Consider the following 14,446-nt stretch of genomic DNA (forward strand, 5'->3'; position numbering starts at 1 on the left):
TGTGGTGGTGTGCACCTGTAATCCCAGCTACTTGGGAGGCTGAGGCAGAGAATTGCTTGAACCCGGGAGGCGGAGGTTGCAGTGAGTCAAGATCACGCCACTGCCCTCCAGTCTGGGCAAAAGAGCGAGACTCCATCTCAAAAAAGAAAAGAAAATGGGAATGCATTCAGGTGAGTAAAGTATTTAATATGTTTGTGTTATTATCTGAAAACTGCCTGTGGTGCCTAGGTCCAGGGCCAACAACTCATGAATGGATTTGACAGATAAAATGTTCAGAATGTGATAATACCTAATTAGGAAAGAAAATACTAGAGCTATGATAATTATAATGTAACATCATGTCTCTCTCCACCCCATCTCCAATGGAAAAATGCTGTCGTTGACTTAAATTTCCCTGAAGTGATTTTAAATAACCCAGTGAAATATGAGAGAGGGAAATTTGTTTAAAATATGATAAACAAGATGAAAGATTTTTTTTTTATCCTAAAGGTTAAAGTATCCCCTGAGGTAAATCATCTTTGGGAATAGATGTTTATATTGGTTCCTATGTCTCCCAAAGACCTCCATGTCAAACCAGCAATTTTGTAGGAAAACAGCATGGTAACAGGAGGCTATTGCCATTTCCTTTTCAAATGTAAATGATGGGAATTTAAAATTGCATTCATCAAATAGTTCTAGTAAGAGTGTGTGTGTGTGTGTGTGTGTGTGTGTGTGTGTGTGTGTGTGTGTGTGTATGTATGTTTTCTTTAAAAATCACTTTGCCGAGCATGGTGGCATGCATCTATATTCCCAGCTACTCAGGAGGCTGAGGCAGCAGCATCACTTGAGCCCAGGAGTTTGATGTCAGCCTGGGCAATCACAACGACAACAAAAGGTACAGTCTCAAGAGTCCAACTGGGTTCAAATCCTGGCTCTGTCACATACTAGCTGTGTGACCTTGGCCAAGTTTCTTAACCTCTCTGTGTGTATAGTCCTTATCTGAAAATGGGGATAACCAACCAAGAGAGCTGAGAGAATATGAGTAAAGTGCTAAAAACACTACCAAGAACACAATAAATGCTCAGTTAATTTTGGGGGTGAGGGTCATATAACCTAGCCCAAACTGTCGATAGCAAAATAAAACAAGTTAGGAGCAGTGGCTCACACCTGTAATCCCAGCACTTGCGGGAGGATTGCTTGAGCCCAGGAGTTTGAGACCAGCCTAGGCAACATAGCAAAACCGCTATCTCTACAAAAACAATTTAAAAATTAGCCAGGTGTGGTGAGGAACACTTGTAGTCACAGCCACTCAGAAGGCTAAGGAGGGAGGATTCCTTGGGTTCAGGAGGTCAAGGCTGCAGCAAGCCATGATCATACCACTACACTCCAATCTGGACAGCTGAGTGAAACCCTGTCTCCTCAAAAAAGAAAAAGAAAAAAAAAGAAAGAATAAGAAAACTCACAAAATCAGAGAACTTCTCCCCTTCTAGCCAGGCATGGTGGCATCTACCTGTAGTCCAACTATGCAGGAGGATCACTTGAGCCTAGGAGTTCAAGTCTAGCCTGGGCAACATAGTAAGACCCTGTCTCCCTAACAATTTAAAGATTTTAAAATGTTTAATCTTTTTTTAAAAAATTGCTTTGGAACTTTTCCCAGTTACCTTTACTTGTAGAAAAAGTCTTCAGTTGAGGAATATATGCAAATACTCTTTTATAAGAATTTTTATTAAAGACAATGTTGATCCAAAGACCCCTCCCCAATCAAGTCATCATAGACCTGTCTTAATATGCAGTTGTAGTAGCAAATAATTCCTGGTTCTAAGGAGATTGATGTTGCTAATCTCTAACAACCATAAAGTGAATGTACTTCTACCTGATCTTTAAAATGATTATTCAATTTTAGATTTAAAACATCATTTCAATCATTGTAAATGAAATATTTTGATTTAAAATCCATTATTTGATAATACAAGTAACATTCTCAGATTTAAAAAATAATAAACTTGTTTCAAAAATATGTGGACTATGATCAGAATTTTTATTTTTTTTAAATACACAAGAACAACTTGAAACATTTATAAACCTCTAAGTTACTTTCGTGAACATTTCTCATTTATTGTAGTCAGAGTTCCTTTCTACAAAAAGTAACTCTATGCCCAAAATATGTTGTAAATCTCTCTGCATATATTTCATCTACCTCACAAAAAAAGATTTATTTATATTAAAGAATTGGTTATTATCTCATGTAAGATGCTGAAGCCTTAGAAAATTACAAATTAGTCATCATAGTTTATTAGTAATTATAGGTATGAAGAAGTACAAACCAAGTATAGATTTATATTAAAGCATTTGAAAATTATTTTGGTCATGACTACAATAATAATACTGAATTGAAAATCCTCTTAACTACATATAAGAACCCTATTCAAAGAGAATCCCTAACCAAAAAGCCTAGTATTAATTGAAAAACAGTGAGGAATGTTTTGTTTTGTTTTTGGTAAAGACATCTTTAAAAAGACACATCAGACTGAATAGAAAAGTAACTTTTAAGATTAATATACTATGACCCAATAGGGTTTAATTCAGGAATGCAAGGATCGTTCATAATACATAAATTAATTAATATCATTTACTCTACCATATCAAATATGAAAAGGACGTGATAATACTATACTAACCTCTTAATAAGCTAGAAATAAAAGGAAGCTTTAGTGGTACAGTATGTCTATCAAAACAAAATAGCAATTATATACCTGAGTTTCATGAAACATAAGAGTTCTCCATATATTGGAAGTCAAGGATTTCTCCATACTATTATACGATATTTCCTATAGATCTAGCTAGTTTGGAAACACCAGAATAAGAAATGAAATGAATAAATATAGGAAAAGAAATAAGAAAATTATAATTTGCAGATTACATTTTTAAAAAATGTACACATTGTGATTTCAATTTATTGGTGACAAAAATTAAAAATTAAAATAAAAATTTAAAAGAATCAGCTGAAAAATTTAACATCCAATAAGATCATTTAGTAAGGCTTGAGATATAAAATAAATATGAAATCAGTTGCCTTCCAATGTATCACCAACAACCAGTTAAAACGAGGAAAATAAATGCTATTAATAATAACCACAAAAATTACATAAAATCTAATTAAAGAATTAACAAGTAATGTGCCAGGTTTTTAAAATACTGTATTTTACTTTGCTACAAACATGTACTAGAGGACATAGAAGATCAGAACAAATATAGGAGACTTGTCACATTTCTGATGGAACATCTCGCTGTTATAATTAGGTAGTTCTCTCTAATTACGTTCAGTATAATTCCTGTAAAATCCCAGTGAAGCTCTTTCTAGAATTTTTAGAGTAGGTCCTAAAGTTTGGCTAATTATTTATGTAAAAATAGGCAAAAAAAAAAAAAAGCATGACAGCACATATACCATATTTCTGAAATGTGCAATTTAGATTAGCTAGGCCAGTTTTCTTATAAAATAAGGATTTCTAAACTTAAGAAAATGACTGTTTGCTCTTTTCTGTTTTAAAAAAATGACTAAGATAAGATTACAAGTATTAAAAGAAGAGAGAGGGCCAAGCTGAAAGCAAAGAATTAAAAAAAAAAAAAAAAAAAAAACCTGGGGCCAGGCATGGTGGCTTATGCCTGTAGTCCCAGCACTTTGGCAAGCCAAGGTGGCCAGATCACTTGAGCTCAGGAGTTCAAGACCAGCCAGGGTGACATGGCAAAACCCTGTCTCTACAAAAATACAAAAATTAACCTGCTGTGGTGGTGCATGCCTCTAGTCCCAGCTGTTTGGGAGGCTGAGATGGGAAGATGGCTTGAACCTGGAAAGTGGAGATTGCAGTGAGCCAAGATTGCACTCTGGCCTGGGTGACAGAGCTAGACTCTGTCTCAAAATAACTAACCACATAAATAAATAAACAAAAAATCTTATATGTCATCTACAAGCAAAATTTAACAGATGTCCAATGGTACTTATTCAATGCAGACACCTAATTGCCTCTTGACAGCTGATTTAAAGAAAAATTTTAAATACTTACATGCCAATCAGTTTAGAAAAGCATCATCAACTGAACACTAAAGCCTAAATATCATAAGAATAATTTTTAAAGTATTTTTGTAGAAACAGGACAAAAACCCCTAAACTCTAAAGAAGAAAACAAAAGCAAACCTGTTATCTGCAGGACTCATAGGTACTGTCAGTTATATATCTTAAAGCAGTCCTTGAAGACGCATATTTAAAAGTCTACAACCTACAGCTGCGAGGAATAAAGCTGAGAGCCAAGCACCTTTTGTGTGAAGGACTTTAATGATTCCATTTAGTTTTAATGCCATCAGTGCATCAGTTGGATGTTTTCATACTTCTGATACTCTTTTTTGTTTGTTTGTTTTTTGAGATGGAGTCTCGCTCTGTTGCCCACGGTGGAGTGGAGTGATGCGATCTCGGCTCACTGCAAACTCCACCTCCTGGGTTCAAGCGATTCTCCTGCCTCAGCCTCCCGAGTAGCTGGGATTACAGAAGCCCGCCACCACGCCCAGCTAATTTTTGTATTTTTAGTAGAGACGGGGTTTCACAGTGTTGGCCAGGCTTGTCTCGAACTCCTGATCTTGTGATCTGCCCGCCTCGGCCTCCCAAAGTGCTGGGATTACAGGCGTGAGCCACCGTGCCCGGCCCTGATATTCTTTTATATCTGATATCTGTTACTCATTGGGAAATTCATTTTAGATTATTAAATCTTTAAGCTAGATATAAATTATATTTTTACCAACACACTTTAGTCAGTATGTCTACAGTAATGCCAACACAGGCAGTTACTACCACAACAATGTATAGGTCAGTAAGCTACTCCCTGGTGAAGAATGAGATGATCTATTATCTTAGTAGAAATCCAAGTTAAAAAACTTTCTGCTTTGGGAAGAATGTTAGTGTGCTCTTTCCAAGAGTTAACATCCACCTTTGATGAAGGAAAACCATTGCTGTTGCCCAACTATAATTAGTCTTTTTCTCTAGGAGACTGGACAGTTTTAGCAAAATCTTAACATTGAAGGGGAAAAAAATTTTTCATTCCCTGAGAACATTATTCTTCTGTCTACATAGGTAATAAAATAGCGCTTAGCAATGTATTCACGTAATTAGATTGTAGAGTGCTTGTAACTGAAGACCCATTTTTTAATTTAAGTAATTGCATCAATTTCAAATTCACAAAATATACGTGGAAATCACCTTAGTGTATTTGTTGTTTGAACAAATGTTTATGGAATACCTATTCTGCATTAGTACCAGTATCTAGGTGAGAATTGCAGTCTTAAAAATTAAGAAAAAAAAAGGTGCTGGGAAATCCAAAGCCTACTGCCAGGTGTGTGTGTGTGTGTGTGTGTGTGTGTGTGTGTGTGTGTGTGTGTTTAAATAAGCTGTTCTGCACTTGGCAAGGTTTTCGGGTGCTTCTATTTGTAGAATTTGGGATTAAAGTGGCTTCTGTTAGTGCTAAGGATCACACTGAATCAGACAATTCAACTGGCCCCAACCTAACTTGCAAAGACCTATCTCTGGTCATCAAACAGAGGCAAATTTATCTACTCTGATTCTTTAAGTTGAAGAAAGGGAACATATATATATAATTTAGTTAGTAACATAATTATTTGATTTTGTTAATTAATACATAACATATATATATATATATATATATATATATATATATAGTTACATATTAGTTAGCATTAATCTTACGAACTAATAATACAAAAGACCTTTCCTTGGCAGTTTTCACATTCCCTCCATCCTGGACTTTGTTTCTGTTCTGTTCAGATTTATTACACAAATTTACCTCTGATCTCTGCATTCTTCCAGTAAACTAGAAACACAAGACCTTTAAGGAAGTGTGAGGGAAGTAGGCAAAATGAAACCAGACAAAAGTCCACTCTTTGAAGTGAGAATTTCACTGTGGAGCCAGGAGAGCCACGTGTTCCTACTGTCAACCCGTCTATCCTGCCCCAACCCTGTTTCCTGTGGGAGCCCAGTTAGAACTTCCCTTTCTGGGTTTCCCTCAAAGCTGACCTGGCTGCAAGGCAGCAAAGACAGAACCACCCTCTACCCTCTGACCCCTTGCATCTATGCTGGGGGAAATGAGTCTCCCTAAGCCTACACTTTGCATGGCCTGGCTGTAGGAACCCAAGTTTGGTGCATGTTCTTCACTGAGTCCTTGAGTGAGCATTAGGGGAGATACTCATGAATCAGATTAGCCCTGAGGATTAGCCTCTAACAGCCCAGGGTCCTGCTTTTATGAACCCACTCCCCCCAACAAGTCAGTCAACTCTTGCACCAAAAACACAGCATTCTATTCCCACTACCTTTCCTGAAGTTTTGCCCAAATTTGGGTAGTGTGAGGCTATTAACCTGTTGGACCTCAGTGGCCAGAATTTTCACCAGAGAGGGAGGACACCAGCCCTATTCCCTACAGATTTGAAGCTGGCAGGATACCAACTGCTGCCTAGAGTTGCTTCCTCTCCATTCCTTTTTTCTTTTTCCAGAACCCTTATGTGTCTTCTACAATGACTTACCCATGAACCATTGTTATTTTTCCTTTTAAGAAGGATCTAATAGTATTATTAAATAGTGTTATTATCTGATTGTAATCTTAGATGTATCTAAAATTAGAGAGGTGCTAGTCTTGTTTTACTTTGTAATGTTCAAACCTTCCCTTAGAATACTGGAGTCTTCCGCCTTGGATTCAGACTCTCCTGATGACCCACCCTTGGGACCCTTAGACCAGGCAGCCAGAGATTGCCATGCCCTCATTGGCAGAGCCAATGCCCTTAATCAGCAGGAAGTAGATACAGAAGACTGACTTCCTCCCACATCAAGCCTTAAGGATAAGGGATAGAAATCTTTAAGTGGGGGGGATGAGACAGGAATAATACAGGGTGGTCACAGATTAGGAAAATCCCAGGCAGCAGTTTCACATGACTAGCAAAAGGAAACTTGAAATAGCTGCAGAGGCCATGGGCTGATAAGACCCTGAAAAACAGCATGTGGATCAAGCTGGCTAAGACCAATTGAACCCAACATGGTGCTGGATTTGCCCTAGGTTTCACCTAGGACCTCATTATACACTCATTAACATACAAATCACACACCCACCAGCACCATGACAGTTCTGGGACCACCCATATTTGGTGTAAAAATGAGTGACACCACAGTTCTGAGAAATTGTTACCTTTTTCCAGGAATCTTCATGAATATTCCACCCCTCGGCTAAAGAAATGATGAAAATAGGAACCCCAACCCCCTTGTATGATTCTCTCTTGAGTATGTCCGCACTCCACTTTCTTGAGTGTGTACTTTTCACTTTGCAACAAGTCTCTGTACTTTCACTAAAAAAATAAATAAATTAGACTCTTTAAACATAAAGAAGGATATAGACAAAATGGCAGTCATTCAGGGGGAGCAGCCAGGACAATAAGGAAGCTTGAAACCATTCCATATGAAAAATGGTCAAAGAGCTAAAATACTGACCAGGAAAAGAGATGCCTCCAGGGATATATGAGAGTTATTTTTCAATGATTGAGGATTTATCTTGTGGGAGAGATATTAAAATCGATCTATCTGTACTCCTAGTGATGGAACTTATAGGAAATGAAATATTTCTACTTAACACAGGAAGATATTTCGTTGTTAATTCAAAGATGGGCTGGGCAACACAGAGAAGTGGTTCTCAGTAGTTCCCATCTTTAAGACCAGGCACCCCATACATAACTGAGCAAGTCCAACGAAGTCATTCTTCACACCCTCTCTGCATTTCTTCCTCACCCTTCAGATCCATCTCCATCTCTCCATCTACCCATCATCATCTTTTCCCTGGGAGACTACAGTCACCTCCTAATTGGTCTCCTTGCATCCATTCTGGCCCCTCCAATCTGTCTGCCATCCTGCAGAAAAGTGTGAGCTTTACACAATGCAAGTCTGAAATTTTAACACAGCCAGCTGCCTGTCTTTTTAATGTCTTCCTCTTTGCTTGGAAAAACAGGACCCAAATTTGAGAGGCAGAGGTGGGCAGATCACTTGAGGTCAGGAGTTCAAGACCAGCCTGGCCAACATGGTAAAACTCTGCCTCTACTAAAAATACAAAAATTCACTGGGCTTGGTGATGCATGCCTGTAATCCCAGCTACTTGGGAGGCTGAGACAGGAGAATCACCTGAACCCAGGAGGCGGAGGTTGCAGTGAGCCAAGATCACGCCACTGAACTCCAGCCTAGGTGACGGAGGGAGACTCCGTCTCAAAAAAAAAAAAAAAGAAAAAAAGAAAAAAAAATAGAACCCAAAGCATAACAAGTGCTCAGGTCCATGGTCTTCCAACCTCATCTTGCTCCACTTAACTTTGATTGCTTCAGTCACACTAACCTCCTTTCAGTCCCTGGGAAATATTTTGCTTTTTCTTACAACAGGACTGTGCACATAAAATTCCTTCTACCTGGAATCTCTACTTGCTGCCCTAGTCCCCTGGCCAATTCACTGATACTTGTAGTTAGAAGCTCCACTTCCCACCCTCCAAACCAGCATCATTAAGATTCCTGTAACACACTCTCAAACAACCATGGTGGTTTGCTTTATTATTAACACCCCTCTCACATAATAACATTCTTTTCTGTGATTACTTCCTGTCTCCCATATTATATGATTGTTTGCATAAAGGTACATGTTGAAGCTTAGTGGGTGCCCACATTTATTTACGGAATGGGTGAATTCATAAGGCTCTGCAGGGGTTTGTGAGAACCTGATTACTTGGAAGGGGTAGCAAAAAAGGGTACAGGCGGCTAGAGCAGATGGTTAGGTCCCTAGCAATCTTGAGAGTCTGTCCATTTTGTGTAATTGATTCAGGCCTTATTCATCACTGTTATTCTTTTTTCTTATTCAGGGTCTACAAAACTACCTATTAATGATACTTGCATTTTGCATCATCTTGACTGGAGCCTTATGCACTGCTTTTTCTAAAATCTAACAATGACAAAACCAGCAGGTGGCAGCAGTAGTTAAGAGAACGCGTCTATCGGACAGCGGAGAGATCATGCTGAGAAAAGAGTGCATTTTCATATAGCAAATGGATCTCAGCCACTGTTGGAGTGGGTAAATGATTTTTTTCCCCAAAAATGTGAGAATGAAGGAAGATTGAGTTTCATTCAAGTATAAAAATGAAAATTTCTTCTGATGAACTGTTTATGAAGGTAGTACTTTACTGGGTGACTAAAATGTCTACATTATTATAGCATTACATACGAGGATGCTCTTTTTACCACAGTATGTACCTAGTGTTGCATAATCTAGAACACAGTATAGAGTCCATATACAAAGAAGTTACAGTCCATATTTCTCACCTATTACCCCAGTGAAGTGAGGCAGAAATACCTTGGGCGAGGAGGGAGAGCCTTACCTTCTAATGGAATTAGATTCCAAAGATATTTGGATCCTTTGTTTCATAAAGTAAATGCATAGTTGGTAACTAAATGTTAAAAAGGCCATTTTATTATTGTTAGCCAAAACTTCTGTTTATTTCAAGTTAATATCGCCCAACTCTACATCATCTACCCATTTTAGCTCATAATGCTTTTGATTATCGCCAGATAAAGTCCATTCTCAGAGAACAAAAATTTTTCATCATTGAGAAAATGTGCATAACATAATACATACATACACAAGTATATTCACGTACATAAATACACACAGATATGTTGCTAAAGTGAGATTGTAGGTTATCAGTAACAATTTAAAGGAAACAACCACTCTTTTGAATGTACAACTTTTTTTTCTGAAATACACTTTTCTAAAACCCTCTTAACTGGAGGTTTCCTGTTTTCTTCTTGTTTTAACTGGTGGTTTCCAGTAGGCAAAATAAAATGACAGGCATGCTAGTTTTTTTTTTTTTTTTTTTTTTTTAAGAAAACTGAAATTAAGCCAGGCAGGGTGGCGCACTACTATAATCCCAGCTGCTGGGGCGGCTGAAGTAGGAGGGTCACTTAGCCCAAGAGTGCAAATCTGCCAGCCTAGGCAACATAGCAAGGTCCCATCTCTAAAAAAGAAATTTAATTTAAATTTGTAAGAAAAAAGAAAACTGAAACAGAACTGCCAGTACAATGTTTGTTGCAATTGTTTCCAAAACTTTGAGATAACGAAACCCCTATTCAAATGTAAATTTTACCCATTCCCACCTGATAGTACTGTTTATTACTTTGCTATGCAGGAGAAACAAAACAGCTTTTTATTTGTGTGTATACTCTGAAGTCAATGTGCATGGGTTAAATCCCACCTCTGCTTCATTTTATTTGTGTGGCTTTGGACAAGTTCCTAAGCCCTCTGTGTCAGGCCCCTCATTAACAAAATGGAGTTTATGATGGCATCTACCTCACATGGTTATTGTGTGGTTGAAATTAGTTCAAATCTGTAAAGTATGTTGATGAGTATCTGGTACTTGGCAAACACTATATAATTGTTAGCTTTATTATTATGTGTTGTTTGAAGGGGAAAAAAGTTTTTGTAGATTGGAGAACACCATGTAAGAGCTACTAAGCTCACCACCTTCCCATCCAAACAATTATTACTCCTCTAAATGAATACTACTTAAAAGTGATGGAGCTTCTGTTTGTTTATTGAATTGCTAATACAAATAAATATTTGACTATAACTTCTTATACTCATTTTAATTTTAACCTGAAATGTCATTAAATTATGCTGATAAACTTTGAATAAATTGTGATACAAAAGCTATTTTTCTCATTTAAATATATTTTAGAATTTTATATTGGATAACTTTTAATTATTCTTTAGTTGGGATTTCCAATTTATATGCAAAATTTTAAATGTGAAGTAAAGCAGTTTCAGAAGAAAAATGAAAAATCAGTCTTATTACCTCTATATAATTTATATATATCCCTATATATACTTTGTATATATATATACACACATTTATATATGTATATATATACACATTTATATATGTGTGTATATATATACACATTTATATATATGTGTGTGTATATATATATACACATTTATATATATGTGTGTGTGTGTGTGTGTGTGTGTGTGTGTGTGTGTGTGTGTATATATACACACACACACAGACCTCTATATAGTATATAGTTTCTGGTACCAAACAAGCTTTTTCAAAATGGTTACCAAAAAGCAACTTATTATTTAGAGGCTAGTCTAAATGGGCAGTTGCCAAATCTGCATTTTGTTTGCTCACCTTAGGAAGTGAATGCCTAACTCTCTTGAGACTTTTAGGTTTTATTTCTCCTAATCTAGTATGGCTAAATTCTAGTGTTTATTTTACATTTTTCTGGCCTGGCTTTCTGTCAAATGGCAACCCCATCTGTACTAAAGAGATCCTGCCATCTTGTGTACAGAGACAGAACTACATTCAGTAGAAGTAGCAGCCAATAAGGCTTGTATCAGATTATGGAAATTTTCTACCATAGGAACAGAAAATCCTAATAAATTTTAAAGGATTAATAGCACAGCATCTCCCCGAACTACAAAATCTTCTTTTATTCCTGACATACTGATTTATTTATATTCAGAGTTACTAACTACTAGACTTATAAGTCTCAATATTGATAGAGCTAAAAAACACATTGCGTAAAGGCAAGTTGTGGAACCATGTGCATAGCATAACATTTAGGTAAATTTTTAGTAACCAAAGTAATAAATACTTTCTATAAATACGTATTTATGTAAAAAAAAAAGGAATTTAGCTACTAATAGTCTACTGTTGACCAGAAACCTTACCTGTAACATAAACAGTTAACACATATTTTGTATGTTATATATATTATATACTATATTTTTACAGTAATCTAGAGAAAAGAAAATATTGTTAAGAAAATTATAGGGAAGAGAAAATACATTTACAGTATTATACTATATTTACCGATACCATAAGTTTGCATCATCTGATTGCAAGAAGAATCTTCTGAAATGTTGGGCAACTGCATCTGCAGACCTCAATCTGTGGTACATATCAAGCAATTCAGCTTTTTCTAATAATGTCATGACTTTTCTCTGCTTCTTGGGAGCACTTCCAGCATCACTAGTCGAGGTCCATATGGGTCCCATGGTGTTATCCAAGGTTTACAAGGTTTAATTTTATTGCAATAAAAAATGATGAAAAATATACAGGAACTGCAAGAGATCATAACCACCAGAGGCAATTGACTGGAGAGACAGTTGACTCACCTGGAGATGATTAGCACCACATGGTGCTTTAAGTGGATAGTCGCAACGCTAGAGCTCACCACAATAGCAACGGAGATTTTATAATAGATTTATGTATATTTTACGGTAGTAAATGATAAAATAGACTAGTGTATATATCTATAGTATTATATATATTATATATAGTATTATATATTATATATAGTATTATATATATTATATATAGTATTATATATTATATATAGTATTATATATATTATATATAGTATTATATATTATATATAGTATTATATATATTATATATAGTATTATATATTATATATAGTATTATATATATTATATATAGTATTATATATTATATATAGTATTATATATATTATATATAGTATTATATATTATATATAGTATTATATATAATATATAGTATTATATATAGTATTATATATAGTATTATATATATTATATATAGTATTATGTATATATTATGTAGTATTATATATATTATATATATATATTATTCATCACATACACAAAAAGAAGTGTTCACCTCACTTGGCAAGAGGGACTTGCATGTGTCAATAAGGACCTTAAGACTGGAAGACCCTGGATTATCCAGGTGGTCACAGTGTAATCTCAAGGGTCCTTGAAAGTGGAAGAGAAGAATCAGAGTTGAGAAGGAGATAAGGTGATGGAAATGGAGGTCAGAGTGATGTCCTATGAGAAGGACTAAACCCATGCATTGTTGACTTTCAAGATGAGGGAAGGGAACACAGGCCAAGAAATGTGGGCAGCTTCTAGAAGCTGGAAAAGAGAAGGAAACAGATTCACCCCTACAGCCTCCAGAAAGGCACAGCCTTGCCAGTCCCTTGGTGTTAGCCCATGTCAGGCTCCTAACCTACAGAACTATAAGAAACAACATTTGTATTGTTTTAAGCCACTAAATTTGTGATAATTTGTTACATTAGCAATGGAAATACAGAGTTACATGACTTTTTTAATAATAATTTTCAATGTAAATGTAATATTTTTACATCTTATAGAAACTTAGAAAGTTTCAAACTCCACATATCACTTATTTATCTCATTGCTACCCCTCTTTTTCCTCTTCTTTGGGTACATTAGAAGGAATACAACTTTTGTTCTGGATTTATACAAAGAAACAAACTGGTGTTTTCTCATATCATTCCCACTCTTAGAGTCTTAGAAGGTTTCAAATTTGCAAACAGAGATGCATTGGATATGGTAATGAGATTACTGATCTGAGAGCCAAAAAACTTCGATGATCCTCCTGGCCTTGCCTCTGGTAGGTAACATTACTTTGTGAGGTATTTTAACTTCCTCATATTTGTAAAATGGTTGTTTTCAACTAAAGGAATTCTAAATTTATGCAAACATAAAACTTTGTCACTATGGAGACATTCTAGTGGTATAATTTAATAGTATCCCAAGTTGCTTCAAGGTTCACCTTACATATTTGTATCCCACTCCTGAAGTACATAATGGGACGGGACCCACCAAACATTGAATAGAGTCACCCCTTTGCAAACTGATAAGGTGGCCTGGCACTCTCTTTTTTGAAATCCTAAGTGTGGGCACTTACAACGCTTTAAATTGAGGCCCCCAATACTGATAAAATAGGAAAAGTCTCATTTTAACATGTGACTCTCAAAATAGGTCCACATTTTTTGTGCGGGTTCCCTACTCACATATGGACTAGTAAAATCCACATCCATTTACCTTAATTCAACAGTATCATCTGTGTTATAAAGATGTTCAAGTTAAGCATTTCACATGTGTAAATGCATTTGATATTCATTTTAAAATCCATATTATTTTGTAGGTAAGGGAACTGAGCCTCAGTAAATTGTAGTGCCTTATTTTTAGCCATGCTGCAAGTATGTGACAAAATCAGAACTTTGAGTCAGGATTTTCTACTCTAATCATTTAATATTCATGAAATGTCAACCATGTGTGAGGCATGGAGGATAGAGAAAGAACTACAGAGACAGGGCTCTACGCTACCCCTCAAAAGGAGCCTACATTCAGCTTATGGTGTCATTTCCTTGATTAAGCTTCTCCTCCTCTTGTCTGTCTCCTACAATACTAGCCCATTTCTCCACTTCACACTCTCATTATTTTAGACACTTTTGTCTCTCCTCAGAGCTACGGGCTTCTTGATCTCACAGTACATTTCTGATTTACCTTTGTAGTTTCCCTTCACTGATTTAGGTAGCCAATAC

The 14,446-nt window shown here is 36.1% G+C and overlaps 1 protein-coding gene across 3 annotated transcripts in view, besides 1 other annotated feature; it reads left to right on the forward strand.

Annotated features, from left to right (window-relative positions):
• The window catches only part of TMEM144 (transmembrane protein 144), a 44,931-nt gene extending 34,045 nt beyond the window's left edge, over positions 1-10,886 (forward strand). For all 3 annotated transcript variants that reach the window (XM_005263110.3, NM_018342.5, XM_017008366.2), the window contains one exon: positions 8,914-10,886. In XM_005263110.3, coding sequence (XP_005263167.1) covers positions 8,914-8,997 — 84 coding nt within the window. In that variant the 3' untranslated portion in view covers positions 8,998-10,886. The remainder of the gene's footprint in view (positions 1-8,913) is intronic.
• Positions 335-836: an enhancer, noted in NCBI's record as "NANOG hESC enhancer chr4:159166017-159166518 (GRCh37/hg19 assembly coordinates)". NCBI's record gives its function as "activates a minimal SCP1, AML or CMV promoter by ChIP-STARR-seq in primed H9 embryonic stem cells {active_cell/tissue: H9 hESC(primed)}" and the evidence as "EXISTENCE:reporter gene assay evidence [ECO:0000049][PMID:30033119]".
• Positions 10,887-14,446: the final 3,560 nt, after the last annotated feature.

The sequence above is a fragment of the Homo sapiens genome, chromosome 4, assembly GCF_000001405.40.
Source record: "Homo sapiens chromosome 4, GRCh38.p14 Primary Assembly".
Taxonomy (NCBI): Eukaryota; Metazoa; Chordata; class Mammalia; order Primates; family Hominidae; genus Homo; species Homo sapiens.